This window comes from Homo sapiens, chromosome 10, assembly GCF_000001405.40.
Source record: "Homo sapiens chromosome 10, GRCh38.p14 Primary Assembly".
NCBI lineage: Eukaryota > Metazoa > Chordata > Mammalia > Primates > Hominidae > Homo > Homo sapiens.
This window is the reverse complement of record NC_000010.11, coordinates 104,169,495-104,188,917: the sequence shown is the minus strand read 5'-3', so window position 1 is coordinate 104,188,917 and position 19,423 is coordinate 104,169,495. Positions and strand designations below refer to the sequence as shown.

The following is a 19,423-nucleotide window of genomic DNA, read 5'->3' as shown; positions in this document are numbered from 1 at the left end:
CAAGGTGGGCTCCAGGCCTGGCACACCTTGTAGAGGTTAGATCAGCTGGCTTTCTAGTGGAGCAAGCTCATAAAGTCACGTTTCCACCACACCCACAGTCCTTGACCACAGATGCAAAGAAGGCCGATGCCTAAGTTTACCCAATCTTAGGATTAGGTAACCTGGCTGGAGTGGACTTGTGGGGACCAGCTCATGCAGATGCTGGTTTGGAGGGATAGGGGGTGGAGATGGTGCACTCTGGGGCCACCCTGGCTGGGAAGGAAACCCAGACAGACTGGGCTGGTTTAAATCTGCCAGTCTAGACATCTAATCAGGAGAATCCCTCATCCATTCATCAAAAATGTCCCTGTAACTTATGTTTAAAGGTCACTTTAAATGTCCAGCAAATAATTTGATTCTAAAGATATAGTGAAGGCAAGTCCATGGATGATATCTTAATTGGAAAGGTAAAAGATCATTTAAACTTATCAATGACCACTTGTGGTGTTGATCTCTGTTTGCTTTCAGAGGTGGCCAAAGACATTTTACAGATATCCACAGTGTCTCTTTTAGAAACAGACATAGTGGAAGTGATGGTGCTTTCCTCGCTTCCAGAAGCAGGGAGAAGCAGGTTGGAGATGTTCACACTGCCTACATTACTGCCACAAGGTAAGGAAAACATAAGCAGCCAGTTCTGCTCCTGAGCCCAGATACATTGTTGTTATTGTTTTTTGGGTTTGTTTTGTTTTTATCTTGGCATGTGAAGAGGTAAAATGGCCACCTTTTGTCTATCTTTACAAAGTAAAACCAACATGCTAAACAGTTTGAAGTGTGGACTTTTCCTCTGGGCTTCCTGACTCATGAGTCTGCTTTATTACCATAGGAAAAGAGATAGGATCAACGGACACATCAAATTGATTTGTTATTTTTGTGATGTCTCTTGTTTTGTAGCTTTGAATAGACAAGGTTAAATTCAGATAGATTACAGTGTAGTTCCCTTCACTGACAAAATTATAAAGACAGTTTTCTGGATAAAAAGGTATGAGAAAATAGATACTCTTTCCTTGTTTTAATGACAAATATATCAGGTTAGCAGTTTTGCAAATATATAATTATAGAGCAGAAGAGAGCCGACAACCTCCAAGTACTTTTATGTTTTTATAAGAATCTCTATACTACCATGGGTTTCTTTTAATATGTCTCTAAGTTAATTGATTAAAAATTAATCAAGGCATTACAGAAATATTTTACCCACTATCAGTCATTTAATACTCAAGTATTTCTAGGGAGACAAGTGTTTTTAAATCATTTTTATCACCTACTAGCTTCCGCAATATTAGTTGAGCATTTAAATTTTATTTTGCTTTTCATAATTGTTCATAATTTTAAAAAAACAAAATTAATTTATGGTACAAGTGATTTCTCTTCTTTTTCCAAATCTAATAGTTTCCACAACCTTTGCTGATGAAAGAGGAAGGCTGAAAGATGAAATCATTCATAAGTACCTGTATGAGTTGGAGCACGCTCTGTCCTCTGCAGTCTTGGGCTTTCAAAGTAACCAAATATATGGCTTCTGTAGTCAAGTGCCATACATCTGTAGCTACCTTCTTCCTGAAGAAGTATGTCAACACTTAAGTGTGCTCTCATTTATCTTAGCAATCAAGATTGATACATTATACTGATTAGATGTGATCCTCTTGACCACTTTAACAGAATAGTTCAGTTAACAAATGCCTTCATTTTATTAATATAATTCCCTTGAGCTAGATATATAGTGTTATTTGTTAATCCATCATACAATATATTTGAGCAACCTGATACTTGTGCCACATACATCATCTTTGTCAGATAAACATGCAGATGACACAATATTAGTTTAGTGCCTTAAAAAACAACCTAGCATTAGGAAATCTATTCTACATATGCCAAGGGCTACAAGGTAGATGATTTGATTTGCAGTGGAACTTTGCATCTAAGCCATAACCAAAATTACAAAAAATAATTAAACTGTGTTTCTGACATTTTTTCATTACACTCTCTTCAGACTTCTCATGCATTGTGTCACCTCCTGCTGCACATAATGGCCCAGTACCCTCCTGCTTGCTGCCCCTTGACCTGTCACTTTCCCTTGATGTCTGTCTACCCACTTTGATAAGGTCTGCCTTCCTTCCTCTAAATTCTTCAGTCAAAGCTCTTCTTTGACAGAGTAGCCAGGACTAGACACAGAGAAGGAATAAATGATTAGTGGCAAGAGAGATTCAAGAAAAGTTTCATGAAGGAAGCAATATTTGATCTGGACTTTGAAAAGTAAGTCAGATTTAGACATGGAGAGATATTGCATACAATTTTGGTGGGCAGCGCTCATATAGGGAGGTAGGGCAGGACTGGTGGGGATGGAGTAGAGTAGGGCATTCCAGACAAAAGGAAGGACACGTGCAGAGGCTTGGAGGTAGGAATGCATGAAACATACGGGGAATATTGACTACATTATTTTGACTTAAGCATGAAGATATGTGAAAATGATTAGTAAAAGCAAAGATTATCAGTGTAGGCTAGGATTTTTAATGGCAAGTAAATAAAGAAGACTTTACTTAGTTGGCAGAAACAAACTTTTATTTGCAAAAGTGGGAAACATGATGCAAACGCAGGTGTCCACTTTATCCTATATCCATTTATTTACAATGACAATGTTTGCACTTTATGCCATATCATTTTATTTACAATGACAATATACAACAGGCATGTATATCTGCAAACCCAAAGGTGCTGTTTACCTGATCTTTTCTATAATGTGGTTATTTTCTTTGATTGGCAGGAACATACCGGTATCTACATTCTTAAACCATACAAAAAAGTACAAAGCAGACAGTATGGACCTGGACTGCTCTATCTGTCTTCACATGGATTGTGGCTCATAACAATAGCTAAATGTGGAATTCTGTGTATCCGAGACGTTTATACTTTGGTAAGCTGCTTTCTTAAAAAAAAATATTGTGGGTGTATATATTGATCTCATATAGGAAACATTTTATATGTATATAAAAATTTGCTTATATATGCATAAAAACTCTGAAAAGATATTGAAGGTACTAATTACCTTGCTTGCCATTGGAAGTATTAGGTCATGGGAACAGGAAGGAGATTTCACAGAATACTCTTTTATAATTTTTGAATTTTGAACCATTTGAATGTATTGCCTATTTAAAAACCTAAATGAGAAAAGGCATCATGGTTGAGAACCAGTATGACTCAGAAATCTCAGTTTTTAAATTGTTGCCCTATATACCAAATTGATGATGCATTTTGTTTAAGTTCTAATCAAACTGGCTTAGTTAGCATCCTTCAGAGCATGTTATCTTCCATTCTTCACAGTGCCCGTCACCCTCTCTCATTATACTCAGCTACTTCACACATAAATAGAACCTCCCTGACTCTTGAAGCCATCGGAACTCACCATCTCTGCTTGCTGAAGGCCCCTTCCCTAGCTTTATAGACTTCTGCAATCCATTCACTTCTCTGTGTCTGATTTCCTATTATAAATTGGTGATAATAATCCCTGTCCTTCCATACTACACAAAGGTAGTGGAAGAACAAATTAGTATTGGTGAATGTGGTTTGAACTGGGGATTTTAAATACTATGTATTGCCAATTGCCTACTTCCATACCAATTAAAATGCTGTTAGCAAATAGAAAATGATTTATCCACAAAAAAGGGGCATATAACCCCATTAGAAAAGCCGTGTGGTAGAATTGCATTTGTAATTTTTCTGGTTTATTTCTTAACTATTGAGGAAACATTTGCTTGGTGTCGGAGTCATTCTCACCAGGGTCATGGGATTCAGTCAATGAGAATTTCAATGGATGGACAAAACATTCTGGTGAATGGGAGAGATGATGGCACCCTTGTCTACCTAAAGTGGAAGTACGTACAGTATTCAGTAAGTAACCCCATGTAGTATAGTGTGTTAAAATAGAGATTTTATTATTATTTAAGTACAGCAAGGCCAACGTGCTGGGAGACCACTGCCAGTGCAAAGAAAGTTTGTTATACTCACAGATCCCAAGAGAAGCGTACACTGCATTCTCGGGTACCACATGGGGCAGACCTGGGGTGGGTCAGGAGGCTGAGAGAGGGAGGAAAACGTGGATGAGATCCTCTAGTATGGTTTTCACAGGGAGGATTGGGCAGGTTTAGGATTGGCTAGTTTGAATATTATCAGTGGGTTCTGAGGCATAGGAGCTGGCTGTAGTTGTCTCATACTTGGCCCTGGGGTGATTAGGGTGGGGAAATGGTGGCCCCGATTGTGAAAGCCCACTAGAGGAGGTGGTTGGGGGTATGGTCTCTGGATTGATCGGTTTGCTTTTGAAAAGCGTGTTCCAGAGCAAATTGTTTACTATCTTCAGAGACTGGCTAGCCTCCAGAAGTCAGCAAGGCCCCAGATATCAGAGCATCAAAATACAAAAAAAAAAAAAAAGACATAGTTAATATTTATCTGAGAGTGATCAGTCCTATCTCTCATAACATAAGAAATGTGGACAATTCTGACCCTCAGATAACTTTAAAAACTCCTGTTTATCCCTGACATATACATGTATGTATATATACACACACTTTCCTAATTAGATTTTGCTTAGATTATATCAAAGACAGTTTCAGTCCCCAAACAAGGAGGGGATCCGTTTTAGGGAGGTACTATTATCATCCTTGCTTCCAAGTTAAACTATAAACGAAATTCCTCCCATGGTTAGGAGGAATGAACAAGAACATCCAGCCTGTGAGACTAGAAACAAGATGGAGTCAGCCATGCTAGACTTCTTTCACTGCCGTAATCTTTGCAAAGGTGGTTTCAATCATGCAATTCATTTTAGAAAAAATAATATTTCGTGATACCTCCTGTGATCAAAGCAGTAATAAAATACGGCCCTTCTCTGCAACATTGTGAAAATGTTAAATGTTGTGGAGATTTTGTATCATAACAATTTTGCTAGCCACTTACCTCAAAAACTCATTTGAGGATTGCATCATCATGCCCATTTTATACATGGGATTCTGAATAGAATATTAGCTTTTATCTCACTATGTAAGTCCTAACATATTGTTTATAACCAGCGAACAAATACTATCTCAGGCAACAACAAACAAGTGCTGGAGCCTTATTTATGCAGCTCAAAAAGAAGGACATTTTGATCCATTGGTAATCACCCAAACTTCTGACTCAAAACAAAGCTGGGTTTAAAACGATGGTCTAGGCCAGGCGCAGTGGCTCACGCCTGTAATCCCAGCACTTTGGGAGGCTGAGGCGGGTGGATCATGAGGTCAGGAGATCGAGACCATCCTGGCTAACAAGGTGAAACCCCGTCTCTACTAAAAATACAAAAAATTAGCCGGGCGCGGTGGCGGGCGCCTGTAGTCCCAGCTACTCGGGAGGCTGAGGCAGGAGAATGGCGTGAACCCGGGAAGCGGAGCTTGCAGTGAGCCGAGATTGCACCACTGCAGTCCGCAGTCCGGCCTGGGCGACAGAGCGAGACTCCGTCTCAAAAAAAAAAAAAAAAACGATGGTCTAGGACTTTTGACTTTGTGACCTTGGCAAATGACAACCCCTCTAAATCATCTGTTACAATGTTACTTAAGGTAGGGGGTCTGTAGCATCTGTGAGCTTGTTAGAAATGCATATTCTTGGATCCCATCTGGACTTTCTGAGTCAGAATGTCTGCAAGTGGGGCCCAGGAATCTGTTTTTAAACCCTCCCAGTGATGCTGATGCGTCCAAAGTTTGCAATGCCCTGGTGAATTAAGTGGAAGTAATAATACCACTCTCAATGCAGGGTGGGGTGATGAGGGGGCCACATGTGATTATGTGTGTGAAGTAGCACACTGCCTGGTGCATTCCGAGAGCTCAGCCAGTGCACTGGCTCTTCTGTGCAATGACCAGGGCAGGTACAGAGGGCATGTTGAGTAAGGGTATGAGGACAGTGTGAGGAGAGGGTACCCTAGAAAGGTCAAGAAGCTTGTCATGGCCTGGAACCCATGAAAGGGTCTCCTGTAAGAAGCAGAGTCCTTTAGCCATGCATGGTGGTGTACCCCTGTAGTCCCAGCTACTCTAGAGGCTGAGGTGAAAGGATCATTTGAGCCCAGGAGTTCGAGGCTGCAGTAAGCTGTGATTACATCACTGTACTCCAGCCTAGGTGACAGAGCAAGACCCTTTCTCTTTAAAAAATAAAAATTAAAAAAAAAAGAAGAAATTCTGCAAAAGAAGTAGGCACTGAAGAAGTTTCCACAAGGCACTGTGAAGAATTGTCCACATATTTCCTTGGTTAGTTACCTATAAACTGAAATGGTTAGTTACCTGAAAATAATACAGCTAAATGTGATTTTTTAAATTATGATTTTTATAGCCTCTGTGTTTTCTTTTTTATTAATATAGGCGATTTGGAGGACACCTAGCCAGTGAAATTCTGGACTATTACCAGAAACTATTAATTTCCCTGAGCAGCGCCATGGACAAGGAGAATCATTATTTAAGCACAACACCAAAAGTTTCCGTAGATTTGGGATCCGATTCTGAACACACAGTTGAGTTCCTATATGACTAGCTTGCTTGCTTACATTTCTTTCTTTGTAAATCAGAAGTTTTCGGTTTGTGGTTTTCTTTAAGCAGATATTTAGTAATATTTCTCTTTATCCAGGTATCCCATGATTTTCAAAAAGGGAATAAGCTACGTCTGAGAGAAAATATTCAGCCTTTCTCAAAGCAATTGCAAATAGTACATTTCAGATCTCATTTAAACCATAGTACAAGATCCAGGCTTGCCTGGAAAAAAAAATCTTCTACCCACACTTGTGCTTGGTCAAAATGGTCTCTCTATACTTTCATATTACAGATATTATTTAGGAAGTGTCTAGCTAAAGAACAGTATTCACTCATTCAATTAACAAATATTTATAGAGTGCCTACAGAGTGCTAGGCTGTGGGGGATATAGCCATGAACAAGAAAGAAAAATTTCTGCTTCCATGGAGTTTACATCCTAATTGGGGGTTGGAGATGGGCAGGGAGAAACAGATAAACAAGCAAATGCAGAAGAAACAATGAGATAGTAACAAGTTCTATTCAGTGAATAAAAATAGGTTGATGTGATAGTATTGGGCTGGATAGCCTCTCCAAGCAGACATTTAAGCTGAGATCTGAATTAAAAGAGAACACCACCATGCAAAGACAATGGGAGGGTAGCAAGAGTATTCAGGGCAAAGGGGGAAAGAGCTTGGCGTGTGGTATGTTAGGACCTAAAAAAGACCTGTGCAGTTGAAGCGAGCTAGGGAGAAAGTGGTGGGAGGTGAGGTCTTCAAAGTGGGAGGAGACCAGGTAACGAAGGGCTTTGTAAACTAGGTAAAGAGTTTGAATTTTATTTTACATGTAATGAGAACTGAGTCAGGTGTTCTGAACACAGGATTAACAAGGTATAGTTGACATTATTGAAATGACTATTTGATGCTATGAGGAGAATGTTTCCTGTAGGTGATAAGAAGGATCAGAAGCAGGGACATTGCTCAGGAGGCTAAGGCAGAGGTTCAGGTAGCAATGATGGAGGTGGAGGAGTCTTGTGCCAAGGAGAGAAGTGGTGGATTCCAGGTGGGTTTCAGAGGTAGGGTTGATAGAACTCACTGATGAATTGGACATAGAGAGAGAGGAAAAGAAAGGGCCCAAGAACTCCTAGATTGTTTTACTTGAACATTTATGTAGAAGATGGTGTCATTCATGGAGATGGGGCAGACTCTGGGGGAAGGGGGCAGCTATGAAGAGAAAGAAGGGAATTCAAAATCAGTTTTACCCACATTAAGCTCGAGAAGCCTGTTAGACATCCACGTGAAGATGCCAGTTCAGCCATTGGATAGATGAACCTTGGGTTCTGGGGAGAGGTCAGGACTGGATATGTTGATTTGAGTCAAGGGCATGCGGATGGGATTTAAAGCCATAACACTAGGTAAGGACATCATGGAAGCATGAATGGCAAGAAGCAGAAGAGGACCAGGACAGAGCAACTTCTGGAGAGGCAGGAGAAGAGTTCAGGGATGCAGAGGACCCTGAGGAGGGGTAGCCAGTGAGGTTACAGGAGAACCAGGAGAACATGGCATCCCAAACTCTTTCAAGACATTTTGCTGCAAAGGGGAGCATAGAAACAGGGTGGTGGGCCGGCGGGGACGGTGGTTGGCACACACCTGTAATCCCAGCACTTTGGGAGGCCGAGGTGGGCATATCACGAGGTTAGGAGATCAAGACCATCCTGGCTAACATGGTGAAACCCTGTCTCTACTAAAAATACAAAAGATTAGCCAGGTGTGGTGGCACGCACCTGTAGTCCCAGCTACTCAGGAGGCTGAGGCAGGAGAATGGCATGAACCCAGGAGGCGGAGGTTGCAGTGAGCCAAGATCATACCACTGCACTCCAGCCTGGGTGACAGAGCAAGACTCCGTCTCAAAAAAAAAAAAAAAAAAGAAATAGGGTGGTGTCTGAAGAAGAATGTGATGGTCAAGTGAGAGTAGTTTTCCTAAGACAGGAGATAGTAGAGCATGTTTGGATGCTGTTGGGAAAGATCCTGTAAAAGGGAGAAATTGATGATACAGAAGGAGATGGCATTGAAAAAAAATTGTGTTAAGTATTAAGACTTCAAAAAGAAGAAAAAAGATCCTAAGCATAGATGGTGGCACAGGCCCTGATGGGCAGGAACATTTGGGTCACAGTAACAAAGAAGGCAAAGAGTGGTGACAGTGTGACTGGTCTGATCATCTCTGCTTCCTCAGTGGAAGCTGTGGCTACTATAAGGGCAGACTGGTGGGACTTACCTGAATAAAATGTTACATCTTGGGCAGACAAAATGTTGGAGATTATTTTCAAAAATGCAACAAATACAAAGGAATTCAAAGCAGTTACATGTGGTAGGGTGGGAGGGGAAAAACTTGATGAATTTTAACTTTAAGACATGTCTGTCTTTTTCTACCATGTATCAGAAACAGAAGGCAAGCACTGACTTATCACAAGATGAATTAGTTCTAACCGATGTTAAGAAGGAAATTCCTTGGATACAACAAAAAAGCCAAGAGGTATTTGTGAAACATGGGGTAGGTTTGAAATAGTGCTCTGTAGATGCACCAAATAGATTAGTTTCCTATGGAAACCTACTGGAAAGTTAGAAGATGGAATGAGACACCACTTGGCAGAGCATTACAACATACAGGTGTAACTTTTCGGAAAGCAAATAAACACCCTAAACACAGCCCAATCATTTAGATCAAGTTATATGAGCTTTAAGAACTGTACGTAGGCTGACATGCAACCCAACAATGGTGTCCAGGTAAGCCACAGCAAAGGATGAACTGCAGTACTCCACCGTGGAGTGAGTTTTAGGGGATGCTTGTCTTCCTCTGTCCTGTGGACCAGGAACAGGGGAAGGGATGCTGTGGCTGCAGCTATTCAGGAAGGTGACTGACTGATTACAGCTCGTGTCTGGATTTAGCCTATTGATCTAGTCTCAAGTTCCCGATAAAAGTGCATACTGGTTTTCCTTAATCAACTGTTCACTAATTTTTCACTGCTTCATTATTTTCTTTCCATTGGCCATATAATTGACATCAGTTTCATGTTGCTTTAATGTCACTTACATAGTAGCAGTTAGATTTAAGCAAGGTACTGCAGTGGTATTACTTCATGTACACTTTATATTAGTCTTTACAAATTTTAGTTTCTGTTTCTAGAGAATTGCTCTCTCTCTCTCTCTCTCTCTCTCTGTCTGATATTTCTCTTGCTTTGTTAAGTGATATACTTGTTCTGTTTCAGGCCATCAAAAAGGAGGTTAATCTGTTTTCCAAGAAAAGGAAAGAGATAAAACAAGGAATCAAATCACTTTCCAAAACTGTAAGTGTTGTAATTTCATATTCTAATACCTTTGGCCCTCATTCTAAAATTACTTTTTGAACTTAATTTTGTTCTACCCTGAGGAACTATACCTCCCTTTTCTCTGCTTGTAAGCTCAGTTTTCTGAGGTTCTTTAACAAGATAAAATTTCTCCAATTCACACTCCATATCAACAGCGGTTTTCCCCATCTTCCCCCAAATTACCATCTTATTTGTCTTTATAATACTGATTTTTATCAAAGTTATGCATTTATATTTTTACAGATTAAATAATACTGAGTTGTGTAGTTAAAAATAATATTTTTTAAGCAGCAACTGCCCTACTTCTCTTGACTGATTCCTGTACTCCTGAGGTAACTGTTTTCTCTTCTTTCTACTTTTTCATTTGGGCTGTTTACCTCTGTCTAAATAGTCTTCTTAATACTGTTGTTATTTCTTGATATTTCTGTTTTGATGCTAACTATGGGTGTCCTGGTATGGAACATGAGTAGTTATGCTTGTTACTGCTCCCCATCCCCACTATAGCACACATATAAATCCGTGCTTGGAATACACACTATGATAGTTATTTGAATATTCTTCAATGCTGAGCCACATGGTATATTATTATTACATTTCTGCTTTTACAACTTGATTTTTCTTAGAATTAATAGTTGCCTTTGTTTTGGGTAAGCCCTTCTATGACCTATTCAAACTCAAAATGCTAACAAATTCTTCTCAATACAATCAAATACCTGAAGTGATCAATCTGTGAGTGCATTTTTTGGGCAACCTCCCTTCTAGAGCTTTCCATCCTCCAGCTCCAGTCAAAGCACCTTGCTCTTGCTCTGTAGACCAGGTGTATGGCTGCCGTCCTAGAGATCTGCCTTCTAAGTCAGAGCTCCTGTTTCCTGAGTCCCACGTGATTTTCTTTGTTTTCTTGGTGTGTATTCTTCAGTAGCTTCCTATGCAGGACTGCTGTGTTGTGCCATGCTTGGGAACATCCTTTATAAAATCTGTGCTTCTGGGGTGCCATCCAAGTGGAATCCACTGTGAATGATGCCCTGCTGCTAGACCTGTCAGATGCTTTGGCTCTGTTCTTGAGAAAGGGTACATGAGAGGTACATTTTGTGAGATGTGGTTTTTCTTAAAATGTGATTATCCTACATTCATAACCATTTGATGGTTTGCCTTCAGAATGTTGAAGGCTTTCTCCATTGTCTCCTGGCTTCCAGTGTTTCCTTTAGAGAATCCAGTGCCTGACTCCCAATTCTTTGTAGGTAACCAGATTTTTATCTTTGGAGACTTATAGAATCCTCTCTTTATCCATAGTGTTTGGAAATTTACAGTTATGCACCTTGATATGTTCGATGAGTATTCTAGGTTTGCTGGTACAAACCAAGACTCTCTTCCCTTTTCCACTCTTCTTTGAGCCCCAAGAGGCTGGCCTTTATGGACAGTAGCAATGCACTCTCTTGCCTTCTGGCTTTCTCTTGGGTTTAGGCAATAAGTAGCATCAGCAGGAGAACCCCATTGTTGCTATTCATGAAGGCCAGCCTCTTGGGGCTCAGATTGCAGGGCAGAAGACTAAGACCAGGGTCCTCATTCTCCCAGTTTCCTCCCTGTAGGGTTATGAGTTGGCAATGACCGCCATCCTTCTCCTACATTTATGGGTCTCTCCAGGTTCATTAACCACTCCCAGCCTTTGCCCTTCAGACCTACGAGCAGAGATGGCTTCCCGAGCCCGCAGTTGGTAGCCTAATGCTTTATCATGTGTTGCTGGCTCTCCTTACTCTGCCAAATCTTTTTTTTTTAAGTTTCTCTCTTCAGTTTTCCCATTTGAATGTGTTACTTTTTCCTACCAGGACCCTAGGTGTTTTCTTCTTCCATGTGCTAGACTTCGATGGGCATTTTAATAGGAAACCTTTGTCTCTTGGTTTTAGAAAAAGTTCTTAAATCATTTCCTTGGCCTTTGTTTTTATTTTCCTGATTACTAATAAAGCTGAGCACCTTTTCATAACTCTAAACACTATTTGTATTTCTTCTCTTGTGAATTTCCTGTTTATATTCTTTGCCTATTTCCTTATTGGATAATTGGTCATTTTCTTGTTGATTATAGGAGTTCTTTATTTTTATTTTTTATTTATATGTATTTATGATAATTAGAGTTAGCTAGCCTATGGTAACAAACTCAGAAAAACATAGTGGCACAGTGATGAGAAGGTTATTTCATTCCCATGTAACCATCCTGGGTGGGTATTTAGCTCAGCAGCTGCTCTGTTCCATGCAGTCATTCAGAGACCCAGACTGTTGGAGACCCTGCTATCTTCAACTCAGGGCTTCGAAGATTGCCTTGCTTGATCTCATTTGAGTCAGTTGGAAAGGAGAAGAGCGTGGAAGTGTGAATGCGACATATCTAAAGGTAGCCCTTATTATTAGGTGGAACTTCATGCAATTGCTGTTTTATGTGGCTCAACCTACAAATATTTTCTAGAAAAGTATATGGCTCATCCTACTCTAAATACTTTCTTTTAACTTTTATAATGTGCCAAATTTTAAATAATTTTATTATAAAGCAGAATTTTAAAACTATGGCATGATCCAAGTTATTGATCATTTTCTTTATAACTTTTGGGTTTTACCTCTGATTTTAAATGACCTTTCAAAGTCACACATATTTTCTTCTAATGCTCTTTGATTTCATCTATAATTTATTTTTGTGAATGGTATGACATATAGTTCTAATTTTATTTTTTCAAATAAATAGCCCATTTCCCCAGTCTGTTTTATTTAATATACTATCCTTTCTCTGCTGATTTGCAATGTCTTCTCTATCAATCCCTGGATATAGGATTGTTGCTGGACTCTGTTCTAAGATTGAATATTGATTTTTCTTGAGCCAATACCAAGCTATTTTAATTACTATCACTTTATAATAGTTCTTGTACCTTGAGAATAATTCTCCTTTTGCCCTTCTTTAAAAAAAATTGGCCTTTTTATGTGTACTTAATTTTCCATTGGAATTTTAAATTCAGCTTGTCAATCTCCATGAAAAACTCTGATTTGATTTTGATTGAGAATATATTGCTTATAGTTTGATTTGGAGAAGAATTTATCTGCCAGCTCTGAACTTTAGTATATATATAAGTATGTATGATAAAACTTTACTGAAGAATATTTTTTAAATTGAATTAAGATATATACAGACAGTCCCCAACTCACAGTGGTTCAACTTATAATTTTTCAACCTTATGATGGTGCAAAAGCAACGCACATTCAGTAGAAACTTGGGCGTGGTGGCACATGTCTGCAGGCTTATTTTGATCTTTTCCCAGAGTAGCAATATGCGGTACCATACTCTCTCACAATGTTGGGCAGCAGCAGTAAGCCACAGCTCCTAGTCAGCCATGCAATCACGAAGGTAAACAATGAATATTCTGAAGTGTACTGTGTTGCCAGCATTTTTTGGATATCGTGTTTTATGTTTTCACAGCCCATCATGTCTACAAATGCCCCTTTTGACATGATATTTTCATCTTACCATGGGTTTGTTGGGCCATAACCCCATCATAAGTTGAGGAGCATCTGTATATTTATATATTTACATCTTTCATTTATTTATTTAGAGACAGGATCTTGCTTAGTAACCCAGGCTAGAGTGCAGTGGCATAAGCGTAGCTCACTGCAGGCTTGAACTCCTGGGCTCAAGCATTCCTCTCACCTCATCCTTCCAAGTAGCTAGGCCTGCAGACATGCACCACCACGCCCAAGTAATTTTTGTATTTTTTTGAAGAGACAGGGTCTCCCTATGATGCCCAGGCTGGTCTTGAATTCCTAGCCTTCTGCCTTGGCCTCCCAAAGTGCTGGGATTACAGGCATGAGCCACTGCACCAGGCCTGTATATTTATTTCTTTTAAAATATATAACTTTTAAAGTTATATTTTCTTTTTGGTTTTTTTTTGTTTGTTTGTTTGTTTGTTTGTTTGTTTTAGATGGAGTCTCGCTCTCGCTCTGTCGCCCAGGCTGGAGTGCATTGGCATGATCTCGGCTCACTGCAAGCTCTGCCTCCCAGGTTCACGCCATTCTCCTGCCTCAGCCTCCCGAGTAGCTGGGACTACAGGTGCCCGCCACCTCGCCCAGCTGATTTTTTGTATTTTTAGTAGAGATGGTGTTTCACGGTGTTAGCCAGGATGGTCTCAATCTCCTGACCTCATGATGCGCCCACCTCGGCCTCCCAAAGTGCTGGGATTACAGGCGTGGGCCACCACGCCCGGCCAGTTATATTTTCATTAAATATATAATACTTACATATGTGTATATTATATATTTATTTATCTTTATTCAATTTTAAAAAGGTAATCTCCAGTGAAAGTTTATAGTTTCTCTGAAAGTGACTTTAAATTTCTTATTAGGTTTATTTTAGGTATCTTATAGTTTATACCGTTTTTGTGAATGGAATATTTTTCTATTGCATTGGTGATATGGTTTGGCTGTGTCCCCACCCAAATCTCATCTTGAATTGTAGCTCCCATAATTCCCATGTGTTGTGGAAGGGACCTGGTGGGAGATAATTGAATCATGGGGGCGGGTCTTTCTTATGCTATTCTTGCAGTAGTGAATAAGTCTCAGGAAATCAGATAGTTTTAAAAAGGGGAGTTTCCCTGCACAAGCTCTCTTCTCTTGTCTGCTGCCATGTGAGACATGCCTTTCCTTTCACTTTCTGCCATGATTGTGAGGCTTCACCAACCATGTGGAACTGTAAGCCCATTAAATCTCTTTCTTTTGTAAATTGCCCAGTCTCAGGTATGTCTTTTTCAGCTGCATGAAAACAGACTAATACAATTGGTATATGTTATATATTGGTATATATTATTGGTATATGTGAATGTTACTGATTTTTTTCTGACCACCTTGTTGAATTCTTTTTAGTTCTACTATTTTGTCACTTGATTGTCTTAGATTATCTAGGTAGACTATCATATCTTTTGAAAATAACATATTTCTCTCATCAGTCTTTATACTTCATTTATTTTTCTAGTCTTATGATTCTTTTTATGAAATACAATATTTTGCATCCCTAGTTACTGTAAAATTATACCCTTCTCACTCAATTAACTTTTCTTTTGGGCAACAAGTCTTCTATTTGTTGAATTTATTGTCTCTCTCCAGTGGTCTTGTTGTTCCCCAAATATTTAGTGATTTATTGTTATTATTTCATGGTTGTCTTTATAATTGAAACTCCCTGTTATAGTTCCATGACACCAGGTCAGTCTGCTTTGGAAGAAGTGTAGGAGATCTGACTTTAGCAGGTATTCTGTCTGCTCTCAGTAAAAAGTGAAGGGGTGGGTGGTGTTGGGAAGTGTCTTGGCATCCCATTGTGTGGTGGGGGTGGTTCTCTATTCTTTCTAGCCACTAACAGATTCCTTGGGCCTTGCCCTGTTTCTCCCATCCAAATATTCATTCCAGTTTCTTCTACCTGGAGACAAACACTCCAGTTACTACTGCTGGACCCTAGGGAACTTCACCAGGTAGGGTTACAGGCAGGTTCTACTGTCTGTTTCTGATGCAGCACCCCCAGCTAATCAACCTGCCAGCACTCTTAGGTAAACCCTTGTTCCTGTATCTGGTGTAGCTTCCACTCGTTGTTGAGTGCTGTGCTGAGGGCATTCAGGGCTGTGATGCATCCTGCTGATCCATCTGATTTCCGTCTTTCAGTTGTTATAGTTTTCATGCTCCTGAAGGATTCTATTCCTTTTTTCCTCTTCATTGTAGTAATGGGTTTATCTATGCTATATACTTCTTTTCTCTTAACTTTATATTTTGGGGCAAAAAAGAAAAATTGTTAAACTCATTCTCAGTCTACCATTTTGAAACTGAAGTCCCATTTTTTTCTATCATTTGTCTGCCTTGTTTTTATTTGTAAGTGCTTTTTATATATTAAAGACATTAATATTTTGTCATATGTGTTGTAGTGTGTATCCTTTGCTCCTGAATTTTTTTAAGTTATGAACTTTTAAAGATAATTTTTATTGTATAGAAGTTCAAATTTATACAAAATTGGAGAGAATAATATAATACATCCAATGGCCAATATCATTTCACCAATGCTTCCATCCATTACCCCTCCCCTGATTATTTTGAAGTAAATCCCAAACATCATATCATCTTTAATTATTTCAGTATGTATCTCTAAATGATAAAGACTCTTAAAACACATAACCACAATGCTGTTAGTGTACCTCAAACTAGCAACAGTGCTTTAATATCATTGAATGAAATGATGAGCTTATATATTTTTGTAGTTTTCCTTATTAAATGAAAGAGTTTTTAAGGATGAAACCTTAAAACTTCAATAACCACAATAAGCCCATAATCTAATTATTTACTTAGTAGTACATTTTGATAAATAGAACATCTATTTTTTATTGATTGCTGCCTAAAAGAAACTAAGAAAATTATCTTATTACAGTTTAATTCTTTACTTGTCAGCACTCTTTTTTATTTCAACATTCAGATTCTGAATATGATGGAAGAAAATGACAAACTAGAAAATATTGCAAAATTAGACCAACAGGAATTTGGTCTGGATCTTGAGGAACTAGAAAGGCTTCATGATGAAAGTCAGGAAGAAGTGGCAAAGGTATGAAAAAGTATAATTTAAGCACCATAAAGTTATGATGAAAGAAGTAAAAAGATAATAGGAATGGGAACTTTTTCATAATAATGTGAATATGACAAAACCTTTTTCAGTATAATGTGAATAAAGCAAACATAGTGCATATAAGTATAATGAATCAGAGGATCATCGAATTTGGGGGTTAGGAGCAGGGAGAACATCTAGGCCAGCCAGACATCTGACATTTGCTTCCCCTCCATGACATTCGTGCCAGCCATACGTTTGAACATTGTTGGAAGTCTTCTCAGCCACCTCATGCCAACTTTGGACGCTTCTGGTTTAGTAAGCCCTTTCTTAATTAGAGTTGAAATCTTTCTTCCTGTACTCACTGATCCTTCTACTCTTTGAGCACTTCCTACTCTATGGCCCCTCTGAGAGTGGTAGAGGATTAGAAATTTCCATGTTCCCTGTGGATCTTCTCCTGTCTGGGCTAATTATCCCAGCTCCTATGACCATCATATATTATAGTTTCAATAGCCTCGTCATCATCATGCCGTTTTCCTCTGGATTAATTATATTTGCATATGGTACCCACAGAAGAATTCAAATTATTTTCTGTCCAGTGTAGAGAAAAGCATAAACTGAAACCTCCATTCATACTATACTTCTATTAATTCAGCCTTTGTATTATTTTCTGGCAGTCACATCAAATTGTTTGCTCATATGGATTTTATTTTAAATAAAAGCCCTAAGTGTGTTTTACACAGGATATTCTGAAGCTACCTCTTTCTCAACCTGCTAGTACAGGTTAATTTTTTGAATGTGCAAATATAAAAACACAGGAGAATGCAAGATAGCTGGATTCAAGGACAGTTAAGGTGGATTATAATAGATTAAACAACTACACCAAGAGGAGGTTGATTATTTGACTGATGCCTCTAGGAGGGAGGTTTCCACCATGTACCCCAGGACTTGGTCCTGATAAACATGTTTATTAATGACTGGGGTGAAGATATAGAAATGAGGAGATTTGTCAAATTAGTGAATGACATGAGACTGAGAAGGTGAGGAAATGTAGTGGATAACAATTAGGACAAGAGTATCTCAACAGACTGACTTAGTACAATAAAATTTACCTGAGATAATCATTCCTTCATTCATTCTGCAACATTTATTAATGTGCTGGGCATATTAATCTAGGTGCTGGGAATAGAATAAAGAAGACAGACACATTTCTGCTGTCATGGGGCTAATGTATTGAAGAAGACAGGCCGTAAACAAATCTCTACATAGTATATGATGGAAACAAACTGGATGCTGTGATAGATGTGGGAGATCTACTTCTGTGGTCAAAGAAAACCACTTCAAGGGCTGACATTTCAGTTGAGAACTAAAGGGAGAGAGAGATCTGGCTGTGCAAAGATCTGAGGGAAGAGAATGTCAAGCACAGGGAGCAGCAAGAGCAAAGGCCCACAGGCAGAAATGGCTTGGAGTATTCCAGGAACAGCACACCAGAAAGGCTGAAGCATCGTGGATGGGAGAGAGCCTAATGGAATGAGGTTGGGGAGGTAGGCAGAGGCTAGCCCTGACGAGCTTGTATATTGCGGTAAAGAATTTGGCTTTTTTATTAACTGTGCAACAGGAAGCTATGAAAAAAAATCCCATTTTCTTATCACAAGAGGTAGGCACCAATCTAGGAGCTTTTTAAATGTTATTTATTTTGATCATCACAATCAAAAGAGGCAGGTGATAGTTTGCCGCACTTGAAAAAACTGAGGCTTAGATAGAGGCTTAGAGAATTAGAGTCACTTGGCTAAGATCAGAGCCAGGAAGATCCTGACTCTTCCTCCTTGGCTCTGGTTTGGCTCAGGCTCGGAATGCCCCCTGCTATTCTGCACCAAGTTCTCCCAGCCCACTCATCTTGACCACTCAGCAATGTGTGTGGGTTCAGTGCCTGCCCGCTTCCTCACTGTATCTTTGCTTCTCTCTCCAAGCTGTATACAACTACTTGACACAGTGAACCTGCTCCCCTGGCCCACTGAACTATTTACCATTGCCAAACTCATCCTACCTACCCCACCGCCACCCTGTGCCTCTGCCCCAGATGCCCCTCCTTGCCACTTACCAAATTCATGCTCATCCCTCAAGAGTTCTCCTTGATCCTCTGAGGCAGGATTTGGTGCAGAGAAAGGCCTTCCATATGCTAGTTTCCCTCATATTGTTTATTTTTTTTTCTTGAGCTCTGTGCCTTTGAAGAGATAGTAACACCAGATTAGGTACAACAGTGGCCCAGGAGAGAACAGTGTTAGCAGATGGCACCATAAACTCAGCTGTTTAGGAGCTTTCAGCATGTTTAGGATCAGAATACTAGTCCTTGGGAGGAGTTAGTGGCACCTGCCAGTCAAGGATGTGAATGAGAGACTAGGCTACTACCCTACCCCGGCCAGGATCCCAATGATAGGAAGAAGACCAAAGCCCGATAATGACAATCTGGACACATTATTAGGGACTGAGTTTGGAGGAGTTGATCAAACAGCCTCAGCAGTGGAGAGAGGAGGGCCGAGTGGGCTAGGAATCAGGCAGGCTCTGACAACTGATATGCCAAGCCAGCTGTCTATTTAGAAAGAAATAATTTAAAACTATATTAGCTATTAACTCACTGGATCAGAATCAAAAAGAAATGAATTGCAAATTAAAGTCATTTAATCAGACAATAAAATAAATAGAAATTCACAAGAAGTACTAAAAAAGACATTTTAAATCTGCGAGATATTAGTCTTATCTAGTTTGCTAATAATTCTGCCAACAAAATGAAGTGCACAAAGGTCCTGAAGAGGATCCTAAGGACTAAAGATTGTTAGATCTCACTTTCACACCAGGCCTTTCAGAAAACTCTATTAAAATAAGAATACTTAATTATTTAAATAATAAGCAATAGG

The 19,423-nt window shown here is 39.4% G+C and overlaps 1 protein-coding gene across 1 annotated transcript in view; it reads left to right on the top strand.

Moving 5' to 3' along the window:
* The window catches only part of CFAP43 (cilia and flagella associated protein 43), a 102,477-nt gene that overhangs the window by 43,447 nt on the left and 39,607 nt on the right, over positions 1 to 19,423 (top strand). Inside the window, exons 13-20 of the mRNA NM_025145.7 lie at positions 508 to 648; positions 1,426 to 1,598; positions 2,795 to 2,944; positions 3,772 to 3,902; positions 6,405 to 6,552; positions 8,986 to 9,078; positions 9,812 to 9,889; positions 16,383 to 16,508. Of these exons, the coding sequence (NP_079421.5) occupies positions 508 to 648; positions 1,426 to 1,598; positions 2,795 to 2,944; positions 3,772 to 3,902; positions 6,405 to 6,552; positions 8,986 to 9,078; positions 9,812 to 9,889; positions 16,383 to 16,508 (1,040 nt within the window). The remainder of the gene's footprint in view (positions 1 to 507; positions 649 to 1,425; positions 1,599 to 2,794; positions 2,945 to 3,771; positions 3,903 to 6,404; positions 6,553 to 8,985; positions 9,079 to 9,811; positions 9,890 to 16,382; positions 16,509 to 19,423) is intronic.